Below are 27,888 nucleotides of genomic sequence, written 5' to 3'. Positions count from 1 at the left end.
CTTGTCACTGGATTTACGGCACACCCAGTTAATCCAGGATGGTCTCATCTTGAGATCTTTAATTTAATGACATTTGTAAAAACCCACTTTCCAAATAGGTCACACTCACAGGTTCTGGGGATTAGGACTTCAGCAGATCATTTTGGGGGCAACCAGTCAATACACAACCTAAAGCAATAATAGTAATAAACAAGACCATACCAGTCAATATATCAGGCATGATTTTGCCTATAACACTGAGGAACAAGACAGATTTATTTATGTTTCTAAGTTAAATTGAATGTGGCCCAGGCTCTAACCTGAAAGGGTTGGTGGGAAGTCTGAATCTCCGCCTTTTTTCAGGGTCTTGGCAAGTGGAAAGGTGAGAATGCTCAAGCTCTGAGGGCCACGCCTTTAACCTGCAGTATTCATTGTGTTTCTACTTGCTTTTTCCTCTACATGCTAGTGTTGTGGGCCACTGGTCCTTCCTGACATGGACAAGCCCAATCTGCCACTATTCAGTTTCCTTGCCCTTTGCCCCCTATCCTAGCACCTCTGGAGTACTGTGTCTGATTAGTGCTGTCAAAGTCAAATAAAATATAAAGATGAATCTCTGAAATTAAAATATTTTATTTGGCAAGAAAGAATTGCAACTAGGGGCATACACACAGACCGGGTTGTCTTTGGTATATCTAAAGAACAAAGAGAAGGTTAGAGCTTTTATAAAAAGGAGAAACATTACATACCACTACTCTAGAAAGTTCATTGGCTCAAGTAAGGTTTTGGGGAGCTAGCAAGCTTTTTGGTGAGTGATGGTGGTGGGTAAAACTAGTCTTAGAGGTGCAGTAGATTGTTTCAGTAGCCTTTAGATAAAACTGGTTTCAGGTTATAGCAGGCAGTCTCAGCAGCCAAGCTTGCAGAGAATTACATTCTTGGAGCAATGGTACGTGGTCTGATTGCGCTGTTTTAGTTGGGTGTGACAAGAATGACCCAGTTTGTAAGGTCAACTTTTGCTGTGGCTACAGTCTCAAGCAAACTTTTCAGACTACCGTCAGGTAAGTCATTTCACAATCAGAGCTGCAATAGGACATTCGTGGGCCCTAGGTGTTACTGGAAAGGTGTCCTTATCCAGACCCCAAGAGAGGTTCTTGAACTTTGTGCAAGAAAAAAATTCAGGGTGAGTCCATAAAGTGAAAGCAAGTTTATTAAGAAGGTAAAGGAATAAAAAAATGGCTACTGTATAGACAGAGCAGTGGCATGGGCTGCTCAACTGAGTATACTTATAGTTATTTCTTGGTTATATGCTAAATAAGAAGTGGATTATTCATGAGTTTTCCAGGAAAGGGGTGGGCAATTCCCAGAACTGAGGATTCCTCTCCCTTTTAGACCATATAAGCTAACTTCCCTAGGTTGCCATGGCATTTGTAAACTGTCATGGCCCTGGTGGGAGTATCTCTTAGCAATCTAATGCATTATAATTATATTATAATTAGCATATAATGAGCAGTGAAGATGAACAGAGGTCACTTTTGTCACCATCTTGGTTTTGGCTGACTTCTTTACCACATCCTGTTTTATCAGTAGGGTTTTTATGACCTGTATCTTGTGCCAACCTTCTGTCTCATCCTGACTAAGAATGCCTAACCTCCTGGGAATGTAGCCCAGTAGTTTTCAGCCTTATTTTACTCAGCCCCTATTCAAAATGGAGTTGCTCTGGTTCAAACACCTCTGACATAGGCACTTATGCTTTTGTGGCTCTGTCCTCTATAAAAGATATTAAAATTATTTTTTACAATTGCATTATTATAAAGATATATGTAATCTAAACTGTTCATTGTTATATATTCATTTTTTTCTTCTAATTTAAAAACAATTAAAATTAAAACATTGTCTTGGGACCAGGCTCCCAGTACTAGCTTCCATATTCCTTAGAATGAATTCAGTTAGATTAATGAGCTTAAAATTCTAAAACTATTAACTCTCTTCTGGAGTCGAAATTAATTCGGAATTTTGAGTCCTTTTAACTTTGTCGGGAGGCCTATGCAAAATATATCTCATGTGTTTGTGATCAGGCTGTGCCCAAAACACTAAAGAGTTAATTTTTCAAAAAATTTTTTTCTTGCCCCTTTAGACTTTGTACCATTCCACTAAGGGGCACTGGTGGAAACAAAGGTGATGGGCATCCTGCCAGTCCTAAGCATCTCTTAGTATGATGAGGAGTGCATCAGTCACAGTGAGAAGGCAAAAGCTCAGCAACATGTGTTTAGTGAGGGCAGGAGACTTCAAACTAGCAATGAAAAGTACTTGCAGTTATTTTGTTGGTAGCTTCCCTGTTTGCTCAGGGTTGCTAAATACATCCAAAAAGGAATCAACCAAAGATATGGAAGCTAGAGGCTTGGACTGGTTATCTACCCTAACAAACTCCCAAGTTAGGAGTCCTAGTGAGAAAAAGGACAGTTTTCAAGAATGGATGGGTTCTGGGTTATTATTATGAGAATCATAGTTTAAATGTTTCTAGATCATTAGTTGCTTCTATTTTTTAACAATTTCTCCTAGTTTTGAAGATAACAAGTCTCTCTAAGGGTATTATGTAAGTATTTTAAAATTATCTTCTGTCTATTCTTTAATTTTCTTAGTATTTTTTTTTCAGATGTGGAATTTGGAGTTTCTTTATTTGGTTGGCATCCTTAAATCATGGGATTTTGGTGGACAGAGAGTGTCTTGCACCAGATTTTATAAGCAGAGCCTGAGCAATATCCATTTAATATTTTAAGAGAAGAGGCATGCCCCATTTTAATAACTGAATGTACTTGTAGCAAAAAAAGTGGATTTATATTGAAACACACATTTTCGATGAAAACACAAGCCAATTCTTTAAAAAACTGCCCAGATATAGAGACCATGTAGGCTAAATTTGTAGATTCCATATTTTTTATGTTAAAAAAGGAAACTCTTTAAAATATTCCAATTATATTCATTAGTGATTAGATGAATGATTGTAGTTAAATAGTGATGAGCTTTGTCAAATTGAAGGAAAGAAGGCTTGTGGTAATTTGCAAACTTCATGCTTGAATGGCTCAGCACAATCGACATTTTAATTAGTAACTTGGATGAAACTATAAAAAGTAGGTTTGTCAAATTTGTGGATGACAAGCTGGAAGATTCCAGATTTAGGGATAAAAAATGTATTGAATAACTGGAACTAGGGATGAATTAAAAAAAAAATAGAGATAGGCCAGTGCAGTGGCTTATGCCTCTAATCCCAGCACTTTGCACTTTGGGAGGCCGAGGAGGGAGGATCATGAGGTCAAGAGATTGAGACCATCCTGGCCAACATGGTGAAACCCCATCTCTACTAAAAATACAAAAATTAGCTGGGTGTGTTGGCACGTGTCTGTAATCCCAGCTACTCGGGAGGCTGAGGCAGGAGAATCGCTTGAACCCAGGAGGCCGAAGTTGCAGTGAGCCGAGATCGTGCCACTGCACTCCAGCCTGGCGACAGCGAGACTCCGTCTCAAAAAAAAAAAAAAAAAAAAAAAGAGAGATAAAGGCAAATTGTTATATATGGGCCTAACAATCCAATTTACCTATTTGAAAAGTGGAGAAATAAGGCAAAACAACACAGGTGTACAGATGAAGAATTTGTTAGCTGGTAGTTAAATATTAATTTGACAATGACATGTGACTACTATAAAACGGTGCTTTAGCATTTTATTTAAGGATAAGGGAGCAGATATCCCAACTGTGATGGCAAGACCTGAGTAGGAGCACCATGTTTAGTTGTGGCTACCATACTTTGAGAGGAATATAGACCATGCCACTTAAATAACCACTGAAGTAAGTAGGAATTATTCTGAGGCAGAGAAAAAAAAAATCACCAGAAATAAAAGAGCTCCTTGGAAATATATAAGATGCTGTCATAGAAGAGGGATTAGATTTACCCCATAAAATATTCCAAGGTTTGTAATCAGGATGAGTTGATATATACTACAAGGAAATCAATTTTTATTTTTATTTTTTATTGTTTTATTTTTTTTTTTAGACAGAGTCTTGCTCTGTCGCCCAGGCTGGATTGCAGTGGTGTGATCTCGGCTCACTGCAACCTCTGCCTCCCGGGTTCAAGCGATTCTCCTGCCTCAGCCTCCTGAGTAGCTGGGACTACAGACGCACGCCACCATACCCGGCTAATTTTTGTATTTTTAGTAGAGACGGGGTTTCACCATGTTGGCCAGGATGGTCTCGATCTCCTGACCTCATGATCTGCCTGCCTCAGCCTCCCAAAGTGCTGGGATTACAGGCTTGAGCCACCGCGCGTGGCCGGAAATCAATTTTTAAATCAGTGTATGAAAGTATGGATAGTACTGTCTGGAGATGAAATAAATTGCCTGACAAGGTAATAAGCTCCCCCTTTATCTGTGGAAGTGTTTACTCATGAGATAAACGTCTATTAACATCTTTCCAGTAGAGGATTTTGAAGCATCAGATGCACACTTGTTCCTTTCAACCCATTCATTAATTACATGACATCAAATTTTAAACAAAGAAATAGGTAACAAAATAGAGGTCGTGTAGAATAAACTCCTTGAAAAGGATGAAAAAGGATAGATAGGTTAAGTAAAGAAATTTTGTTTTTAAAGGTGTTTGAAAAGAAATGATCCAGTGGAGAGAGAGAAAAAGCAACAGGTAGTTTGGGAACTAGGCTGTGTGGGAGATAGGAGGTATAATTTTGAAGAAACACATTACTAACTTTCTTTTGTTGTTGTTGTTGAGATGGAATTTCGCTCTTGTCTCGCAGGCTAGAATGCAGTGGTGCGATCACGGCTCACTGCAACCTCTGCCTCCCAGGTTCAAGTGATTGTCCTGCCTCAGCCTCCCAAGTAGCTGAGATTACAGGCGCCTGCCACCATGCCCAGCTAATTTCTGTATTTTTAGTAGAGAAGGGGTTTCGCCATGTTGGCTAGGCTGGTCTCAAACTCCTGACCTCAGGTGATCCACCCGCCTCGGCCTCCTAAAGTGCTCGGATTACAGGCGTGAGCCGCCGCACCAGGCTGAAACTTATGTTTGTGAGAATGGCTAAACATGAACGTTTATTGATTTTCCTTCTCTCCCCGTTGGCCATGTTTTTTTCTTCATAAATTAAGTATTTGAAGGGGCTGAGGGTAGGCAGATTAATGGTAGAGAGAAATAAAAAACAGCCCCCACTGCTTGACACAACTGCTGCCAACACCCAAATCTTTCACAGTCATGCAAATTTCTTTAGTATAACTTTCAGCACAATTTAGTCTTGCTTCTTGTATTGATCCTCATATCGGCTCAGCTCTACTGCTGTCATAACTCAAGTGTTTGCCCCTTCTGAAGTTCTTCCCTAAAGAACTGAGTTGTAGATTCTACTATAGTGATCTGATTTTCATGTTTAAGTGAAGCTATCTTTCCAAAATTCAAAGCATGATTAAAATTGTTTTGAGAATTCAAATTGGATGCAAAACAAAAGTAAAATTTTGTAATCAAACGTCAGTTCAGAGAGTGAACATTCTGAAGGCACGTGGCAATCAGAGTTCATGAAAACACATCTGTGAACCTAGAGAGAAATTATTTTATGCACAAATCTATAGTGTTTCTTAAAATAAAGGGTCTTGAACTTTACCGTGAGTAAAAATCGCTTGGAGAGTTTGTTAAAACAGATTCCTAGACCTCACCCCCAGAGACTGAATCAGTCGGTCTGAGATAGGAGCCATGAAGTTTCATTTCTAACATGCTATAGGTGATGCTAAATGTAGCCAGTCTGTGCACTGTACTTCTGGGTAGCACTGTCTTAAAATGCACTGCAAGGAATGACATCTCTAGCATTATCTAGTACTAGCTAGTTAAAAAATAAATTACTAGGTCCCTTCCTGGAGTGACTGAATTTTAATCTGTCATTTTCTTACTACTTCTATGATTGCTGGCCCATTCATGTCCTATCTATATTATAATTTACTTAATAGTACTTAAATTGTCTTTATTTAAATATTATGTAATAAAACTTTAGTATAAACAGAAAACTATTACTTGTCATATGTAGAAGTATAAATTTCAAATAGAATGCAACAAAAAAAACCATAAAATTCTTGGTAAATAGTCTCTGAAGTTCTGAGCCTAAAGCCTATTCTCATTTTGTTAACGAGGGGGATAAAAAGATGTTAGCAAAAAAATTGAGATATTCTCCTTTATTTAATTATAAGGCTCAAAAAAGAACGGAAAAGAATGTCCTTTACTAAGTGACTCAAATGCCATTTAGTGGTGAGCCTACATATGACCTAAAATAATCCCACTTACTACTAGCTGTGCTTGCACTACATTTTTGGAAATAAGATTTAAAGGAAACATCTCCCCTTCTCTATGTTTTCATTCCATTGCACTATTCATTAAAGAGTTATTCAAAAAGTGCCTACTCTATGCCAGACCCTGTTCTACACTAACTAGTCATACTCAGCATAATCTGTCTCATCTTCCTCTAAGTAGCAGTTACTAAATAGGGGTTATAATAAAAACCAACTGCTGAGATTGTAACAATCCCATGAAGAGATGATGAGAGCTCACTGCAGATTCATCTTAATCCCTGACAACATCTTCTTACTTATCAACATGTTATTATTTACGCAGAAAAAGTTTGCAGAGCTGTGATGACGGATGACTACACGTGTCTTCCATACAGAAAATTGTGGGAGAAAGTGACTGTAAGCACATAGCCATAAAGCACACAAACTATGAGTTTTTAGATCTTTGCAGAGAATAAAAAACAAGGCAAAGTTCATTTTATCAATCCAGATATACCTCATGAAATCAGTATAAACATCAATTTGAGGCCATCAATAGTCAAAATAATTTCTTTTTAGAGTATGTATAGAGAAAAGGGAAAGCTTCCAAAATAATTTTCTCTATTTATTACTTCACAAATAAAATTTGCATCTTAATGCTTTTTAAAATTTAATAGATAACTCATGTGTTTAGTTTTCACTTTTCCCTATTAATTTCCATATTTCTGAAAGGCACAGTAAGAGGTACAAGTTAATGTCAAGCTCTAAAATGGAGATTAAAATGCTTATATTTCTAATTAATATTTAATTACCTCAATGGCATCTAATTTCTTTTATTCAAACTTTTCAGGTTGTGGGTCTGTTGCTTCTTGAAAGTTCATCTTTTCAAATTTATTCTGTATCTCACTTTCTGCTGACTTCGCTACGCAGTTTCAGAAAAGGGCTATTATTCCTTGTAAGTTCTCCTATAGTAATATAACCTATTAACCAAAAAAGTGCTCACACCGTACTTTTATTGTTTGGGCTAAATTTGATATGGACAAGTTAAGAAAATAAAAACTGTGGGTATTAGGCAGCAAGTAAAAAGAGTAAGTTAGAGCCATATCTGATCTGGAAGGCTGTACTATTAAATGCAAAAAGCAGGTTGCAGTATGATGTATAATTATAATAATAATATGCAGAAAGATCCTTTCTCAAATGAGCATATGTTCTAAATATAAGCAGGAAGAAAGGGACAGAAAGATACACATCAGGCTGTTGACTTTATTTAGCTTGGTTGTTGGTGACAGTAGGGAAGGCTGAGGTTAAAAATGGGGACAGGAAGCCGGTATTAATATATTTATTTTTTTCTTTATATTGTATTGTTTTACCTTTGAAATATCATTTTTAAAGGGAATTCATAAATAAAACTTTAAAATGTAATCCTAATAATGGAGTTTTAAATTAATAACCCTTTGTAGGGCAATTAAGCCTGGGATTTTAGGGCAGGGATTCTGTACTGTCTCTGGTGGGTAAAGGGTATATACTTCATAAAATCAAATTGCATCTTAGACAAGTAACAAATAATCCATGAAGAACATGAATGTGAAAATGGCTTCCATCAGAAATACATCATACCTTAAGGCACTGTTATAAACAAGAATAATTACTATCCTTTAAAAGTGGTTTCTGTTAACAAAAGAGACATAAAAATTGAACTATGTAGCAAAATTCAAACTTTTTACTTGTATTAATTAAAAAAAATACTGCAGTGTCATGGAGGGAGACTAATATTTACCCAAAGAACCTTCAATAAAGCTTTAATACTCACGGATTTTATATAAAAAAAGTCAAAGCAACAGAGATATAAATATCCTTTTATGAAACACATTTCTTCTTGAAAAACAGTCACTTACATGCTTTTATTTTGAAGTAAATTTAAAGATGGTGATCTAGAAACCACAAGTATTTCCGGGTAAGGCTGAAGACCCATTTGTTTGTTATCTTTCAATTTTTGTACTATAACTTTGGCAAATTCTTCTCCTTGGATGTCAGTAGTGTCTAGTAATTGTCTGACTTTTGAGGTCCTTGTAGGCTTGGTACTAACAAGTTCATAGTCCTCTTTCATGATCAAGTCCCTGGACAGAAGGGCATCTAGCGACTGGTTAAGGCAGGCTTCTGTCATTTGGTTCACAATGTCTTCCCTTTTGCTCTGGATCCACTGCTGGGCTATACCAGGCTGCAGACGTTCTGAAAAAGAACAAGGAATGAATAATTTAAAAGGTGAGGACAGATACATAGCAATAAGTAAAATTCCATGAAAAATAAATAAAGCATAAAACATAATTTTCCTATGATTGTGCCAATATGGAACACCAACACTTTGGGGAATGGTGTCATTTTTCAGGAAACATTCAGAGATTTGGGTTATCTCCCCCTCACTCCCCAGAAAAGGCATTGCCTTTTCCTATGGTATAAATCACGGGGCAAAAACCACTTTATGTCATCATTTCCATCTTCTGGGATTTGTTCAGTTTTGTTTGATGTCCATTTTATTTCAAATATAAAAGATACCTGCAAATTTTTTAAATAAACAAAAATAACTTTACCATTAGTAATATGTTAATACCTCCTCTTAGCACTGCCTCCCTATTTAGATGTTCATAGAATACCATTTGGGCCATGTCATCATTCCCATCTCCTGGGATTTGTTTTCCTACTTAAGAAGGTATGTATTTATCATATTGAGGAAATAAAGACAAACCTCATTGTATGGTAAATCCACTGAACACAGATATGTAAGGTCAATGGCATCACTTACAAGGTGTTTCACAGTAAATATTTACCTGAGTTTCCTGCAGTTGAGAGTGGATTTATTATTGCTGAAGAGCATGGAGTGGTCTTGTGATCACAGAATGCAGCCCTTTGAGATCCAGAAATGGTGCTATCCCAACTGTGATTTCCAGGACAGTGATGCAGCTTCATAAAATAACAGTCTTGAGCTTTTCCTACAAAATACAACATCTTCATTAGAAGTAGAATACTCCTTAGAAATTCCTATTGGCTAACATGTCAACATCTGAGCAGACAGAAGGTAGGCTCCAATGTCTTTAGTTTCCACTAATATTAAGGCTGGTTCAGAAACCTAATTCTGCAAGTAGATATTTCTTAAAACAAAAAAGGGTTTATATGGAATGCTTTCACTACAATTTCTGTCAGAAATTGTCTGTTCTGTGTAAATTATAAATCATAGAATTTTACTTCTTTACATAGTCCCATATTTTTCCTGTGTGTCTTCTTACTCCTTCTGAAGTTTAAGTATGTTCTCTAAATCTATATATGATGTCTGTCTTTCTAGTTTCTCTTCTGGCAATCCCACTGAGCCTCAGGGACTTAATCATCCCCTCTATTCCCAAATCCACGCAATTACATTTTCTGTCTTCATTGAACTTTCGTCTTATATTTCCTTCCTTCCTTCTTTCCTTCCTTCCTTCCTCCCTCCCTGCCTCCCTCCCTCCCTCTCTCTCTCTCTCTGTCTCTCTCTCTTTCTTAGATGGAGTTTTGCTTTTGCCACCCAGGCTGGAGTGCAATGGTTGCGATCTCAGCTCACTGCAACCTCCACCTCTCAGGTTCAAGCGATTCTCCTGCCTCAGCCTCTTAAGTAGCTGGGATTACAGTTGCATGCTACCACAACTGGCTAATTTCTGTATTTTTAGTAGAGATGGAATTTCACCATGTTGGCCAGGCTGGTCTTGAACTCGTGACCTCAGGTGATCCACCTGTCTCAGCCTCCCAAAGTTCTAGGATTACAGGTGTGAGCCACTACACTCAGCCATGAACCTTAGTGTTATATTTTCAAAAGCCCTCTGGCCATCAACCCTTTGTGTGCTCCTAGTACCTCAAATTAAAAACAAAAACAAAAACATTAAAAGTATAATTATCCGTCTTAACTCTAAAACTTGTTTTAACTTTTTTTTTTTTTAATTGAGATAGAATCTTGCTCTGTCACTCAGGATGGAGTGCAGTGGCGCAATCTCAGCTCACTGCAACCCCTGCCTCCCAGGTTCAAGTGATTCTTGTGCCTCAGCCTCCTGAGGAGCTGGGATTACAGGTGTGCACCACCATACCCGCTAATTTTTTTGTATTTTTAGTAGAGATGGGGTTTTGGCATGTTGGCCAGGCTGGTCTTGAACTCCTGGCCTCAAGTGATTTGCCCACCTTGGCCTTGCAAAATGCTGGGATTACAGGTGTGAGCCACCGCATGCAGCCTGTTTTAACTTCTATTTCTTTTAATGGCACCAATGTTCTCCCAGTCCCCAGGCTTAACAATTTATTTGGCTTTACCTCTTTTTTCTCTCATCGCTCCTCTAAGTGAAAAGTTACAAAGTCCTATCATCTAGTTGTCTATAACATCTCACATACCACCCCTCCTTTCTTTCATTCTGTATCGGTTCTTAATAATCTCTCACGGGTACTACAGTAATAGTCTCCTAACTGATCTCCCCATCTCAAGTTTCCTTTTCCTTTCAAAATATCCTACACATTCCAGCCAGAATGAATCTCCCCAAAGTAAAAAATTTTATGTCACTCCCTTGCTCAAAAAATTGCAATAGTTGCTTCCTACTCAAGTAAAAAAGTCCAAATAGTTCAGCTGAAAGTTAGAATTCTTGATGATATGACTCCAATCTACTTAGCTCTTACTTCTTTCATTCACCTTCTTTACTAGCTAAACCAAATTACTCACTGTTCTCTGTATTTTCTTGCTTCTGTACCTGTATGTTGTTCCTTTTGCCTGGAATGCCTATCCTTTGTAATTACAGATCCAGCCTTCAGCCAGAAATAATTTCATGATGACAACATGGTAGAGTAGAGTGACATGATAATATTTATCAAAAGTCTTAGATGTGCCAGCTACTAGCTATGTGATCCAGAGTCCTTAAATGTGTAAAATGAGGACATTTCTCTCACAAGGTTGTTGTGAAAGTCCTTTGTACAGTGTTACTCTTCCACTGTACTACCATAGCTCTAGATCCACGTCTCTCTTATATCACTATCTCATATAATAGTTATTTAGAAACATTTCTCCTTTTTCTTGTAAGAGATTTTTTTGCGGACATTTTCTGGCAGTGTCTAACATAATGCCTGTTTTTTAAAATTTATTTTTTGACACAGAGTCTCACTCTGTCGCCCAGGATGGAGTGTGGTGGTGCAATCTCGGCTCACTGCAACCTCCCTCCCAGGTTCAAGCGATCTTTCCGCCTCAGCCTCCGAAGTAGCTGAGACTACAGGTGCCCACCACCATGCCTGGCTAATTTTTGTATTTTTAGTAGAGATGGGGTTTCACCATGTTGGCCAGGCTGGTCTCGAACTCCTGACCTCAGGTGATCTGCCCACCTTGGCCACCCAACATGCTGGGATTATAGGTGTGAACCACTGCGCCTGGCCAAACATAATGCCTTAAAACTTAAATGTATTTGTTGAATATCACACTACTATTTTCCTATCTTTAGACTCTGTCGCTTTACAAAATGAGTTATATATGCAAATTAAAGTTCCATAGAAATCATGACTGCTTGCAAAAATTTGATCTTGAAAGAAAATGGAAAACTTGCAAGTAAATAATGATTGGAAAATCTACATACTAGATAAAAAATCATTGTCTTGAGGAGCTGGCAGGGACCTTGAAGTTTCAGGAGAACCACTATTTTCATGGAGCTGAGAGGATCCACATGATTCCTAAAGTAAATAAAAAATAAAGGGTTTAGGTTAATAAAAATTATCGAGCTTTAATTTCTAAATAGTTCTTGTTTGTGGCTTATCACAAATGAAGATAAAAACTACTAATTTTTTTTTTTCAGACAGGGTCTCACTCTGTTGCCCAGTCTGGAGTGCAGTGGCACAACCTAGGCTCACTGCAGCCCCACCCTCCTGAACTCAGGTGAACCTCCCATCTCAGCCTCCTTAATAGCTGGGATTATAGGTGCACACCACCATACCATGCTAAATTTTGTATCTTTCGTAGAAATGGGGTTTCGCTACGTTGCCCAGGCTGGTCTCAAACTCCTGCGATCAAGTGATCCACCAGCCTTGGCCACACAAAGTGCTGGAATTACAGGTGTGAGCCATTGTGCCCAACCTACAAAACTACTAAAAATTATACTTTACAAAATTAAAGAAACACATACATCTATAAAATAACCAACAAAGATAAACTTATTTTCTTAATTAACACAAATGGGCGAAATAGGGGAATAATGAAACATTAGAAATAATTATTTTTTCAGTATTTTCTACACGATCTCAGATGCTGCAGCCAGTAGCTAGAATAGTGAATGAGAAATTTGGTATCTGCAAGTCTGGTCTCCTACAGATTTAGAAATGCCTGTTCTCAGCACCTCAGGTTCCTTCCACATGGAGGCACAGGAAAACATGGAAAAAGTAATGGAGAATTTTACTCCTAGCTCTGTCATGGAATCACTAGCTAACTTTCAATAAGGTATTTAACCTCTCTGGCTCTCAGGTTTTTGGCTCTATTATCCGCACTGTCTATCTAAAAATATGCATGAATGGCCTCAAAGATCAAATGAAATACTGTACATCAAGTGATTAAAAATGTGATATACTATGCTTTAAGGTTCGTTTTAAAGATACTACAGGTTTAATATCCCTTATCTGAAATGCTTGGAACCAGAAGTGTTTGGAATTTTGGATTTTTTTCAGATTTTGGAATATTTGTATATATATAACGAGATATCTTGGGGTTGGGACCCAAGTCTAAATATAAAATTCATTTATGTTTCATATACACCTTATACACACAGCCTGAAGGTAACTTAATTCAATATTTTAAAATAATTTTATACCTGAAACAAAGTTTTTTTTTTTGAGGTGGAGTCGCCCAGGGTGGACTGCAGTGGTGCGATCTTGGCTTGTTCAAGCAATTCTCCTGCCTCAACCCCCCGAGTAGCTGGGATTACAGGCATGCGCCACCATGCCCAGCTAATTTTTATATGTTTAGTAGAGATGGGGTTTTGTCATGTTGGCCAGGCTGGTCTCGAACTCCTGACCTCAAGTGATCCACCCACCTTGGCCTCCCAAAGTTCTGGGATCACAGACTTGAGCCATCGTGTCCACCCATGAAACAATGTTTTGACTGCGACCTATCATATGAGGTCAGATGTTGCTATGGTTTGATATGGTTTGTTTGTCCCCACTAAATCTCACATTGAAATTTGATCCCCAATGTGGTGGTGTTGGGAGGTGGGGCTTAATGGGAGGTGTTTGGGTCATGGGGGAAGATCCCTCATGAATAGCTTGGTGCCATTCTAGAAGTGGTGAGTGGATTCCTGAGAGAGCAAGCTGTTAAAGAACCTGACTTCCTCATTTTCACTCTCCTGCATCCTGTCTCACCATGTGATTTCTCTGCATAGCTCGCTCCCCTTCTACTTTCCAACATGAGTGCAAGCGGCCTAAGGTCCTCATCAGATGCAGCTGCCCAATCCTGGACTTTCTGGCTACCAGAATTGTGAGCCAAATAAACCTCTTTTCTTTATAAATTACCTACTCTTAGGTATTTCATTATAGCAACGATAAACAGACTAACACAGGTGTGGAATTTTCCACTTGTGGCATCATGTTGGTGTTCAAAGTTTTGGACTGTGGAGGGCTTTGGATTTTTGGATTAGGGATGCTCAATCTATGTTACTTTTCTAATTCTGTAAAATGAACATACATATACATTCTTAAAAGAAATTACTAATTCAGACTAATATAAGTCTGATTGAATGCTACTAAAGAGATCTTTCTTCCTAGGCAGCAATGTTTTCCTCTCATTAATTATTATAAGAGGTAAGAACAAGGTAGCATAAATACAGTGTTAAAACTGTAATCAATGATTTGCCTACATAATACCCTGGGATATCATTTATTGTATAAAACAATGACAGGGACAGAACTCAATGTCAAACAAAGAAGCAATAATTGTGATTTGATGGGATGAACAATGAACTGAGAATCAGTACAGCTGGGTTTCAAGTTGGAGATTGACATGAGCTACCAAACAAATCCTAAAAGCTCCCTGGGCTTTAGTTTTCCTTCTATAAAAGAAGGGCTTAGACCAAATGATTTTTTCAAATTCTTCTCACATTTTGAGTTTAATATAACCTTTTTTTTTTTTTTTTTTTTTTTACCTCTTGTGGACCATGATTTACAGGTATGTTCAGAGATAATTCCATTTTCTTCTTGTCACATAGGTGAATGGCACTTGAAACACTCTGTAACTGTAATGAATACATAAATATATATACACTTTAACTGGAGATGATTAGGAAATTATAGAAGTAAAATACAATCTAACACATTTTATATGTTTGTACAAAATACATGGAAAGAAAATATAAAGAGTTGAGAATATAACATATAACTGAAGGAAAAGACAGTGTAGAACGGGAAATAACTTTAGAAACACAGACTTTGAATCCTGGCTCATATTAATTGGTTACCTTCTCTCAGTGTCTCAGAGCTTCATCCTCGAAATCTAACAATTACCTACATGCAGGATGGTTCTAGAGATTGAGCTTATAAATATGAAATATCTGGTATAAACTAGGTACTTAATAAATTTTTGGGAATTTTTGGGAGTGTGATTGTATGTCTATCTATAGTTAAGTATTTACCACATTTTAGGCACTGTGCCTGTAAGTACTATTATTATTTTCATTTTATAGTTAAGAGATTGAGGCTTGGACTAAGTAAAGGAGGTAGAGTGTCAATAATGGAATGGCAGGGCCATGGAGCCAATCAGATGTGATTTAGAGACCCACATCTGTTTGACGTGAGACATTAGATTTAATCTCAGTTTACTTATCTGTACACTGGAGATAAAAATTCCTATTTTGAAGGATTACTGTGAGGAAAATGAAAAGTAATATATGCAAAAAGGCCCAAACATTACTTGTAAGCATTCAATAAATGGTAGCTGCTGAGTAGATGATTTACTTAAATACTATTCTTTTGTGTTAAAATTAAGTGGTTTATTCCTGTCTATATAAGCTAGGCTTGGATTAGTTTCCATCACTACTCAGTGATTTAAATACAAACCTATCAATCATTTTCTTCCCCAGACCATCATAATGTCAACTACTCTTCAGAATTTGGAAAATGGTGAATTCACACCCAGCCATCCATTATGCACATTTATGACTGCATACTCCATTTACATGGCTAAGGAACTTCAGAAGGAAATTACTCTTATTCATCTGTGTATATAATGTACCTAGCACAGGGCGTTATACACAGCAGTTCAATAAACATCTATAAACATATTGTTATATGACCCTTTAAAATGAGTTTTTGGTTTTATCTCTGTTATGTGAGGTTTTCCTCTGCTTATAAAATTTGCCAAAACATTTCTGATAATGCAATATCCTTGAATTAGTAACAGTTTTTCATAACTGATCAGTTATGATAATTCAAATTACTTGTGAATTAGTGAATCTGTCCCTAAGAAGAAATGAACAACTGAAGAAAAACTATGTTTATTCAGTGTTTATTATTCAAGATTTAGAAGCCAATTACCTAGGAAAACATAAATTACGGGAGCTGATTCCAAGAGTTGAAAAAATGTAGGAAACTCAAAACAAATTTCCCTACTAATTTTGGCTTTCAGAATTTTTTTTTTTTTTTTCTTAAGAGACAGGGTCTTGGTATGTTGCCCAGGTTGGACTGGAACTCCTGGGCTCAAGAGATCCTCCTGCTTCAGCTTTCAGAGTAACTGGGACTATAGGCATGTACCATCACACCTAGCTCAGAAATTTCTTTATGAAGAATCTTATTTAATTCGTGTTCTACTGTTGTCCCTGACATTAGCTTACTGTGTGAGATGTACATAAGTGACTAACTTCCCTATACGGTAGTCCCCCTCTTATCTTGGTTTCACTTTCCGCAGTTTCCATTACCCTTGCTCAACTGTGGTTTGAAAATATTAAATGTAAAATTCTAGAAATAAACAATTCATAAGTTTTAAGTCACATGCAGTTCTAAGTAGTATGATGAACCTACAGCTCCATTCCACCCAGGATGTGAATCATCCCTTTGTCCAGCATATCCATGCTGTATAAGCTACCACCCTGTTAGTACCAGAACAACTGTCAGGATCACAGTGCTTGTACTCAAGTAACTTTTTTTTTTGAGACAGGGTCTCACTCTGTCACCCTGGCTGGAGTGCCAGCTCACTATAGCCTCTACCTCCTGGGTTCAAGTGATCCTCCTATCTCAGCCCTCAGTAGCTACGACTACAGGCATGTGCCACCACACCCAGCTATATTTTTTGTTTTGTTTTGTTATGTTTTTTTGCCACATTGCCTAGGCTGTTCAAATAACTCTTATTACTAATTAAGTCAACTCTTACTACTAATGGCCCAAAGTGCAAGAATAGTGATGCCAGAATATTGTTAGAATTGTTCTACTTTATTATCGGTTATTGTTAATATATTACTGTGCCTATCTTATAAATTAAACCTTATCATAGGTATATATGCATGGGAAAAGTAAGTATGTATGTATGATAGGTATGTATGTACAGTATACATAGGGTTCAGTGCTACCCATGGTTTCAGGCATTGACCAGGGTCTTGGAATGTATCTCCCATGCATAAGGGAAGACTACTGTACCTTAGTTATCTTATCTACAAAAATCAGATGATATTCTTGCCCTATAAGTATCACAGAATTGATACAAGATTTTTTTTAAAAAAAAGAACAATCCTGAGTGGAAAAAATATGGCAACTTAAAAAGTAGCTGAGTGTGGTAGCCCACGCCTGTAGTTTCAAGCAATTGGAGATGCTGAGGTGGGAGGACTGCTTGAGCCCAGCACTTCGAGGTTGCAGTGAGCTATGATCCTGTCATGGCACTCCAGCCTGGGCGACAGAGGGAGACCCTGTCTTTAAAAACTAAAAAAAAAAAAAAAAAAAAAATTCAATCTATTAAGGAAGAGAGAAATTGGTATTTTCTGGAAAACACTACCTACTCAGAAGTGGTGGAGCCAGTGAAAAGTTATTAAAAGAATGAAAACACAGTTCCTCTTTAGTTCCTTCCTTTATGCATTTCCCTTTGAAACCAAGGGTTATGTCACTAGATCCAGCAACCCACAAGGGGCAGGCAAGCAATGTCATTTTGTGATAAAAATTGTAGATGTTGCTTGTTCACACCCCAAGAGTTTGGCTAACTGCTGGTTTTTATATCATATATTAAGTACAATTTAATGAAACCTATATCCCCTAACAAACCACAGTTCATTAGGGCAAAGTAAGCATAGTTTAGCACTTGCCCTAATGAACTGTGGTTGCTTTTTAAACAATTTTGAGTAATATTAAAAAAAAAAAAACCCCTGCAGTAATAGGTCCCTTAAATTGTTCCGACCCACAAGAATCAGACTGAGTATTTAATACAACTCTCCTAGGTAATTCATATAAACTGTTACTGCTACCTTGGTCTATAAAACATGAAGTGTTTGAGAGGAAAAATGAAAAAACAAACCACAAACACACTTTGGTCTCAAATTTAATAAAAATTCTACAGCTAAACTTGGCGAGGAATCTCAGAAAAAAATGTACATTAAATAAAAAGAGAAGTGCGAGAACCCAGACATCTATTATTCTCTAGGCATTACAACTTTGGGAAAATAAATGTACATTAAAAAACAAACACCTCTAATGGCTCAGTGCATTCATTGTACACAACTGGCTGTGATTATACATTTTTAAATTTATGTCTGATATATAAGGGTTCTGGAAATGTCTTTTTTTTTTTTTTTACGTTTTAAATAAAGGTGGGGTCTTGCTATGTGGCCCAGCTGGTCTCGAACTCCTGGGCTCAAGTGATTCACTCGCCTTGGCCTTCAAAGTGCTGGGATTACAGGTGTGAGTCACCACGCCTGGTCCTGGAAATGTCTTTAAAATCTGAAGGTGGCCATTTGAATGAAATAGAAAAGCTTTTGGTGACAAAGGAAAAGTAGTATTCATAGTCTCTGGTAAATTTTCTCACTCCAAAACTGTAGCTTATATCTGTGTAAAGTATATATATTAAAAACTACACTTAACTAAAAATCTCCATGAATATTATATAGTTGTTTAAATTTCTAATTTCCAGCATTTCATTTAGCAACTTACCTTTGTTTTCTTTAGCTGAATAACAGCTTCAAGAAAAGTTATCTCTTCAAATGTTCTCAAAACTGGTTCAAGTTCTATTAAACATTCTACATAAGAGAAAAAAATACAGGTTGAGTTCAGATTGCTTCTAAGTATTAAAGTGAAATGCTAACATTTAATGTACAAGGCCTCAAGTCAGTTTTTCCCCAAAGTGATGACATTCAGCTGTTTTACGAGCTTTTATTACTGACATAAAGATAGACATAAGCAACAATGGAATAGTGTTGAGAATCTAAAAACACCTGTTTTTGGACAAATGTGCTAAGCCAATTCAATGGGGAAATGATAGCATAGCCTTTTCAATAAATGATGCTAAAACAGTTGGATATACACCTGGAAACAGATAAATTTAGATACTTATATCACACTACACATAAAAACTAACTTGAAATGAACCACACACCTAAATGTAAACATAGGAGAAAATCCTCATGATCTTGGGTTAGGCAGAGTTCTTAGATATGACATCAAAAATGAAATCCATTAAAAAACTTGAAAATTGGGCCAGGCATGGTGGCTCACACCTGTAATCCCAGCACTTTGGGAGGCCGAGGCGGACAGATCACCAGGTCAGGAGATTGAGACCATCCTGGCTAACACAGTGAAACCCCGTCTCTACTAAAAATACAAAAAAAGAAAATTAGCTGGGCGTGGTGGCGGGCACCTGCAGTCCCAGCTACTCGGGAGGCTGAGGCAGAAGAATGGTGTGAACCCAGGAGGTGAAGCTTGCAGTGAGCCAAGATTGTGCCACTGCACTCCAGCCTGGGCAACAGAGCAAGACTCCATCTCAAAAAAAAAAAAAAAAAAAAAACCCAAAAACCGCCTAAAAATTGGACTTCAAAAAATTTGAACACTTTTGCACTTCAAGACAGTATTAAGAAAAAATAAGATAAGCTGCAGCCTTGCACACTATATTTCCACATCATGTATCTGCTAAAGGGTTTGTATCTACAATATATACAGACCCATGACAATAACAGGAAAAATAGCAAAATTAAAAAACAAGTAAAAGATTTGAATTTCACTAAAGGAGATATACAAATGTCTTCAAGAAGCACATGAAAAGATGCTTAACATCATAAGAAAAGGCACTTTAAAACTGCAATGAGATATCACTCCATACTCACTAAAATATAATTAAAAGGAAAATAAGAAGTGTTGACAGTGACGTGGAGAAAATGAAAACCTCATACATTGCTGGTGGGAATAAGATAATGCAGCTACTTTGGAAAACAGCTTGCAGTTTCTTAAAAATTAAAGATAAATTTATCATATAACCCAGCAATTCTATTCACAGATAATTAACCAAGAGAAATGAAAACATATGTTCACAGACTTGTATGTGAACAGTCATAGCAGCATTATTCACAGAGGCAACAAGTAGAAACAATCAAAATGTTCATCAACTGGCCAATGGATCAACAAAATGGGATACATCCATATGATGATGTATTATTCAACAATAAATTACTGAACTATGATTCATGCCGAAACCTGGATGAACCTGAGAAACATTACGCTAAGTGTGAAAAGAGCCAGATGCAAAAGGACCACACATTGTTATCATTCCATTTATATGAAATATCCAGAAAAGGCAAATCTAGAAAGACAGAGAATAGATTACTGGTTACCTAGGGTTAGTGGTGAGAACAGGCAGTGACTGCAAATAGTTAGGAGGGATTTTGTAGGGGGTGATGGAAATACTTGAAAATTGGATTATAGTAATGGTTGCAAACTGTAAAATTATTAATACTAAAAAGTCAATGAATGTATAGATAAATTTTATGGTAAGTAAATTATACTTTGATAGGCTTTTGAAAAAAATAATCTTTATTATATGATTCCTCTCTGCTACTGTGTTACTTTGCCATTTAATATGTATATTAATTGAACAGTTAAATCCATTTTCAGAATATATACTCTCTAGTTACTTTTTCAACAAAGGTTTACTGATCTTCCTCTTTTCCTTAATTCAGTTAACCTATATTTTTTTTAAAAAAAGGAAAAATATTGCTTGCTTTTAGTTTTTCAAGCTTCCTTTATTTTTTTATTAAAATTTCTTTCATTGTGAACTTTTCATTTCTTTTCAGTAGGTTTGTCCAAAAGTAGGCATCTTGTGCTTACTCTGGTATCTAGAGATCCCTTTGTAATTTCATGTTCTTCCATTTGGTCCTATTGACAGAATTTCTTTACTGAATACACTTAAACTTTCCTTATTATTGATTTTTTTTTCTTCCTTTCCCTTTCAGGTTCCCAGAATCTGCTTTTCAACATTCCAATATACACCAGAGCCTTAAAATAAAACTGACAGGCTGTATAGGCAGTAGTGTGTTTATAAATCAATGATGGTACCTTCCCACTGAAAATAGGAAACAGTCATCCTAGGAAAAAAAAGTTGTACTTCCATTTAAAAACAAAGTTCAAAACCTAACAATAACAACAAAACCAGTAGCATCCCAATGGCTATAAATGAAACATGTCTAAGGCAGACAACAGTACTTTGTAAGAAATGTGATAAATTAAACACACACACACACACACTCACACTGTACTATTAGATACAAAGCTGGATATGTTTATAGGCCATTTCAGTTAAGACAGTTTAAAAATAAACTCTAAGTTCTTATTACTAGAAAAATAATGCATTGTATTTTTCATTCAATACTTATATCCATTGTTCATCAGCATTATATTTACAAATCAAAAGTTGCTAAGGTAATGGGTTCACATTTTGTTTCTTTCTTTCCAGAGCCATGAGGAAGGGTATATATCTCTGTTGTCCTCTCTTTGCCATTTCCAAATCGTAATTTCTTCTTTCTGTGAAAATTCTAGATCCTCTAAAGTTCATGCCATTAGGCAATACTTACTTCTCTGCAAACTTCTCCTTTCTCCTATGCTCAAGATTTTGGCTTTTGGCTTACTGACTTCACCCTGTACTGATCAGTGCTCCACTGAATACTTGAGAGGAACCCTCTGAAATCTCTGGGGTTCTCACTCTGTGTACCTTTTCCCTTCTGGTGCAATGTCCTATGAAGTCTGTCTGCCTTGGTCTACCCACACTGTCATCCCTGTTTCCTTGACCCTGAGTGTCCACTGGGTTCCACCTGTTTCCTCTCCCCATGCTGCATCTAGAAACTCTCAAGGCAGGAAGCTGGGCAATCGGAAGGCTCACTTCATTTGTTTCCCATCCATCAGAGATTGCTGCTCTTTGTTTCCTGATATTTAGTGTCTTAAAAACCAGTTTCACATATTTTGTCTAGGTTTTTTGGTTGTTTCAGGCAGGAGGGTAAATTGGCCCCAGTTACTCCATCTTGGCCAGAAGTGGGGTCGCTGGTTTCTCTAAATTAACGGCCCAAACTAGACACTAAATACCACTTCTCAGCAATCCTATTTTGCTTCCTAAATACATCTACTATTCTGTTCTCATAGATAAGTGGTTCTTAAAGTGTGGTCCAGGGACCCCTGGCGGGGGTGGTTCCTGAGGGTTCATGAAGTCAAAACTATATTCAAAATAACAAGTACTAAGACATTATTTTCCCTGTTCACTGTCATCCCCAAACAAGTATATAGTGGATTTATCCAGAGGCCCATAAATAAGGTGTGATAAGATCACTGCTTCAACAGATAATGGAATGTGTTCTTGTATATTCCTACATTTTAAAATTCCTTGGTTTTAATTTCTAATACAGTAAATGCTAATAGATATTACCCACACATACAAAAGCTCTTTGAAGTCCTCAATAATTTTGAAGAGTCTTGAGATCTAAGTTTGAGAATTGCTGTCTTACATAATTATCTCGTACTGTTGGAGGAGACACTTAAGTCCTTTTCTTCATGTTTCCAACAGGAAGATGACATTTCCAGTTCAATCCTCAGGAAAGAGAAGTATAGGAGGAATTCTTCCAGCTCCTTTCTGCCCCTCAGACTTACCTCATTTATTAAACTTGGAGAAAAACTAAGCATGCTTATTTGGTACCTTTGCAGTTTTCTCCTTCTTTTAAAAGTCAGCTTGCCTAAAGAATGCATACATTTTCTGCTTCCCTATGTAGAAGCAGGGTGAGGCCTGTGGTGGGCTGGTAAAGCTATCAACTGTAGGGGTAAAATGCTACTAAGCCCATTTGGCTGCAGATCTAAAGGTACATTCTCCAATTAGCTTTATCAGTAATGAAACTGATATTCTGATCAACATCTATCTTTCTTCCTCGGCTTTTTCTTAATATATTCTGAACTTAGAAAGGGAAGGCAGGGGTAATAGGCATTGTACTTTATCTTCCCTTTTTCAGCCTCTTACATCCCATCCTCCATGTTTCCTTTGAGCTAGCTGATCATCTGCTCTCATACTACACTGAGAAAATAGAAGCCATGAGAGGGAATTCCTTCAGGGTTCTATAACCAGATCTACAAACTTCTTGTACTTGTATCCATCTCTCCAACCTCATTTCTCTTACAGTAGAAAAAAGTGTCCATATACTCATACAAATGTAAACAGTATCACTTGCATTCTGAATACCATTTCCTCCACCTCTCCAGCATTCTGTTTCTGATACTCTCTCTCAGTTCTTGCACTGACAATCTCTGACTCTCTACTGGATCATTTTTTCCAGTAGAGTATTTTTTCCAGATAAAGTAATCTATCTTTCTCCAGGATTTTTTTTTTTTATTTAAGAAACAGCATTTTGCTTTGTCAGCTAGGCTGGAGTGCAAGTGCAGTGGCACAATCAAGGCTCACTGCAGCCTCAACATTTTGGGCTCAAGCAATCCTCCTGCCTCAGCCTCCCAAGTAGCTGGGATTACAGGCAACGAACCATGTCTGGCTAATTTTTTATTTTTTTTTTATTTTTATTTTTGTTGAGACAAGGTGTTGCTGTGTTGCCTAGGCTGGTCTGGAACTCCAGAACTCAAGTAATCCCTCTGCCTTGGTCTCCCAAAGTGCTGGGATTACAGGCATGGGCCACTGTGCCTGGCCATAGGAAAAAATTTTGACCCCATATCATCCTTTAGCTATCACCTCATTTTTTTCTGCTTCTGTTCAGAGCCAAGCATCTTGCTGGAATTTTCCATATTTGCCTTCACTTCTTTCTATTTTTTTTAAATGTACATCAGTCTTCTGTTTACATCTCTCTATTAAAACTCCATTTGTTTGGATTACCGGTGATGACAATGTTGGAAAATCCTGCTTATCTCATTTGGCCTCCTGGCAGATTAAACATGTCCGACTATACCCCTCCTTGACTTCCAAGACACAAGGACTACACTCTCTACTGTCTTCTCTTCCTTAATCCTTTTTCTTCTTCCTCTTCTCAATTTCTAAGTGCTGGAATGCCTCAGAGCTTTACTATGGGTCCTCTCTTTGCTATGTATATTCCCTTCTTAGATGAACCAGTCCAGACTATCAATATGTTAGTGATGTTCAATTTTATATTAGGATCCTGGACTCTTCCTGGAACAACAGATTCATGTATTGTTGTAGTAGTAGCAGCAGTAATTATGACCGTTTCTACTTGCTGGCTATTATAAACAATGCTGCTATCACTAATCACATACAACTGTGTGAACATATGTTTTCATTTCTCTTGGTTTACCTGTTAGTGGATTGCTTGGTTGTATGGTAAATTTATCTTTCATTTTTAAGAAACTGCCAAACCGTTTTCCAAAGTGGCAGCATCATTTTATATTCCCACCAACAATGTATACGGATTTTGGTTCTGCCACATCACTGTCAACACTTGTTATTTTCTGTCTTTAATTATAGCTATTTTGTGGGTATGAAGTGGTAACTCATTGCAGTTTTAATTTGCATTTCCAAATGACTAATAATATTAAGCATCATTTTATGTGCTTTTTAGCTATTTGTATATCTCCCTTGGTGAAATTCAAATCTTTTACTCATTTAAAAATAGGGCTATATGTCCTATTATTGACTTGTCAGGGTTTTTTATATATTCTAGAATCAAGCCCTTTAGCAGATACATGTTATGCAAATATTTTCTCCCAGTCTGTGGCTCTGCTTTTTTTTTTCCTTCTTGGAAATGAGGTCTTGCTATGTTGCCCAGGTTGGAGTGCAGTAGCTATTCATAGGCACGATCACAGTGCACTATTACACATCCTCAAACTCCTGGGCTCAAGTGATCCTCCTGCCTCAGCCTCCTAAGTACCTGGGACTAAAGTCGTGGACACTAAATGCCTGGCTTTCTCTTTTCTCAATAGTACCTTTCGAAGTGGAAAAGTTTCCAATGTTTGCAAAGTCTGATTATAAATTTTTTAATGAATCCTATTTATTTTTGATGTCATATTTAAAGATTCTGCCTAACCCTAGGTCATGAAGATTTTCTCCTACATTTACATTTGGATGTCTGATCCATTCTACCTCTGAAATACTATCTTAATTCTGTAACTCTTCTGTCTTCAGAATTTCCACCTTAATTAGAATATTCCTGAAAGTGTCTTTTCTAGCCTCTTTGCTTCCACTTTTGTCTTTCTCCAATCAACTTTCCACACAGCAGTAAGAATTTCACCTAAACTTCTATCAGATCATGTCACTTCCCTGCAAAAGATACTTTAATGGCTTTCCATTGCACTTGGAATAAAAATCTAACCTTTTTATGATGGCCAATAGCCTCTCTCTTAACTCTCCAATATCATCTAATTCCTTTCCTTGCTCACTGTATTCCAGCCACACAGGCCTTCTCACTGTTTCTTGAGAATATAAAACTTTTTCCTCTTCTAGGCTCAGAGCCTTTATGCTTGCTGTTTTGTTTGGCTGAATACTCTTTCTTCAGCATTTGAATGACTGGCTCTTTTTCAAGCTTCAAATGTCAGCTCAAATGTTTGCCCCTAAAAAAAGGCCTTTGTTTCCCTCCCTTAATTAGTCTATTACCTTGCTTATTTCCTTATAAGACTGTCACAATTTGTGTATCTTGCTTATTTATTTGTTTTCACTCTGCCTTCTCAACTAGAATGTGAACTAGCTACAGAAAGTTTGTCTTGTTTACTACTCTGTTCCCAGGGCTCACTCCAGTATATACATAGCACATGGTAGGGGTTTAAGACATATTTGTTAAATATATGAAAGAAATTGTTACTCCTATCACACGATTTCTCTTTTTTGTTAGGAATTCTCAATTCTGCTCTAGAAGGAGTTACTCATATATAAATGCTATGATAAGACAGAAAATAATTTAAACAACTTCTAGCTAGTCATCTAATTTGCACAATTTTTCAAGGAATATTTTATTCACAGTATATTAACTAATTCTGTAATTCAAAGAGTCTAGGTTAAAACTATATACTCACTTAAGAAAGATGGTCTTTCATCTGGATTTTGTGCCCATCCACTTTCTATTAGAGAGATCATACGTGCTCGGTGAGGTATATCATATGGCAAACTTTCTTCATTAATAACAGGTCGATGTCCTTGTGACACACTATACATTATCTGCAAAGGATTGGTGACATCTGTCAAAACAAATAGATTGCATTCATTAGTAATATATTATGATTAAGCATATTACTTACATCTAAAACTAACTAAAAGAAAATAAGTGAATATTGAAATTTTAGGAATGATGCCTTACCCCCCTTTCTGTAAAAGGAATATATATACCCCAAACCATTGCCAGACTTGTCTGATTCCTATGGAATGAGTTTATATCCTCACCTCATTAATTTTGGGCTTGACCATGTGATTGGATTTGGTCAACAGAGTATTTGTAAAGCAGAGCTGAGCGAAACCTTGCAGAACTAAGAAGGGCTACAGCAACCAATATTTAATGTGAATGAGAAATAAATGTTTATTTCATAAGCTACGGAGATTCCGAGGTTGTTTTTTGTTACACAACAAGCTGACCTACACAAACCTCAAAATAAAGAAATAAACAATATTTTCAGGGAATAAAAAGGACAGATTAGTCTTCGATATTTGCTAGTCTTTATAGAGGGGGTAGTAATTAAATTATCATATAAATAATTTTACAGCTAGACTAGAACTTGGAAATAGTAATTTAAAATTCTTATTATGCAGGCGACAAAAATGAGGACGCAAGAGATTTGTGACTTGATCACAGAGCTAATTACTGTCAGAACAAGAATTAAAATCTGGGTTTTTCTGATCCTTAATCCAGTACATTTTCCAGTATATAGTAGACTCACAACTGGATCCTTAACCCGGTATATTTTGCAGTATGTGATGCATTCACAACTGATAAATGGTTGTTTTAGTGTGTTTTCCACAAAATGAATAAGCAGATTTAAAATAACATGATTTTTAGATAGTTCTGAGAGTGACCTACTAACATGATGTTATTGAGCATAAAAAAGTCAAACCATACTTACCTTCAAAAGGCTGTTTTCTGGATAACACTTCCCATGTGATAACTGCATAGCTGTTTAACATAAGAACATACATGTTACATATTTTAAATGAACTCTGCATAATAAACTAAAATAGCACTATTTTTAAAAGCTGACTGAAGATACCATTTTTCAAAGTGATAAGGCAGCAAAGAATTACTGTATACAATGAAGATGATAAATGCTCATGTAGTTTGGAAACAAAATCAACTTTAAGTTAAAAAATTAGGAAATTACTGTAATACAAGCTTAACGTTACATGCAAGATTAACTTTTTGTGGATGATTTAATTCTTGGACACCCAGATAAGCTATGCCCTTTAATTAAATGATATTATTTTTCACAAAGAACAAAGAACAAGAAAAAAATTGTCTCATGGAGCTCTATTCTACTGCCTTTTTTCTGCTCTCAGCACTATCTTCTTTGGTAGTAGAAATATCTTGCCTACAGTTTAACTTCAGATGTCAATTACAGGGTTAAGCTGCATAGAGTTTATAATTAGAATAAATGGTTAAATAGGATATAAGAATTTTGCCACACCCCAACATTAACCATGCATTCAAAATGGACACATAGAATTTATTACTACTAACACCTTGTGTTACAGGGAGAGCGAGGAGTACAGAGGGAATTCCTACCCAAATGAAGGAATAATATTTCCTCATTTTTCCCTGACAGAGAATATTGAAATTGAACATAAAGGGAAAATTCACAAAATGAATGACTGGCAGATTTATTGGCCCATTTTTATAGAATCAAACCAGCTTTAAGAATTGTTGGGTAGAACATGATCTCTACCTTAGGAAGCTATAAATACATTTCTCCTCCCCTCAGTACATCATTCAGAATGAATTAAAAATATCAGAAAACAAAATATAAAAGGACAGTTTCTTATATTCATACAATGTGAATGTAAAAGACACTGTATGAATTGTTTTAGTGCAGCCACTAAAATGGATTGGCTGGCTTTGGTTTTAATGAGAAATAACAAAAATTAAAATGCTTTTGAAGAAAAGGAATATGCAATTTAATTAAATATATAGTTTTCTGGTAGAGATATAGCATTCATTCCTAAAAT

At 36.7% G+C, this 27,888-nt stretch overlaps 1 protein-coding gene across 3 annotated transcripts in view, besides 1 other annotated feature; it reads right to left on the bottom strand.

The window, feature by feature from the left end:
• The window catches only part of RIPK2 (receptor interacting serine/threonine kinase 2), a 33,249-nt gene continuing 12,879 nt past the window's right edge, over window positions 7,519-27,888 (bottom strand). For all 3 annotated transcript variants that reach the window (NM_003821.6, NM_001375360.1, XM_011517357.3), the window contains 7 exons: window positions 26,793-26,842; window positions 25,755-25,916; window positions 18,423-18,508; window positions 14,444-14,533; window positions 11,897-11,990; window positions 9,101-9,262; window positions 7,519-8,504 (listed from right to left, as the gene is read on the bottom strand). In NM_003821.6, the coding sequence (NP_003812.1) occupies window positions 8,167-8,504; window positions 9,101-9,262; window positions 11,897-11,990; window positions 14,444-14,533; window positions 18,423-18,508; window positions 25,755-25,916; window positions 26,793-26,842 (982 nt within the window). In that variant the 3' untranslated portion in view covers window positions 7,519-8,166. The remainder of the gene's footprint in view (window positions 8,505-9,100; window positions 9,263-11,896; window positions 11,991-14,443; window positions 14,534-18,422; window positions 18,509-25,754; window positions 25,917-26,792; window positions 26,843-27,888) is intronic.
• Window positions 8,175-8,375: a silencer, noted in NCBI's record as "peak7102 fragment used in MPRA reporter construct". NCBI's record gives its function as "represses an SCP1 promoter by STARR-seq MPRAs in K562 erythroleukemia cells {active_cell/tissue: K562}" and the evidence as "EXISTENCE:reporter gene assay evidence [ECO:0000049][PMID:32103011]".

The sequence above is a fragment of the Homo sapiens genome, chromosome 8 (assembly GCF_000001405.40).
Source record: "Homo sapiens chromosome 8, GRCh38.p14 Primary Assembly".
NCBI classification, from domain to species: Eukaryota; Metazoa; Chordata; class Mammalia; order Primates; family Hominidae; genus Homo; species Homo sapiens.
The sequence above is the reverse complement of the archived record's forward strand: the minus strand, read 5'-3'. Positions and strand labels throughout refer to the sequence as shown.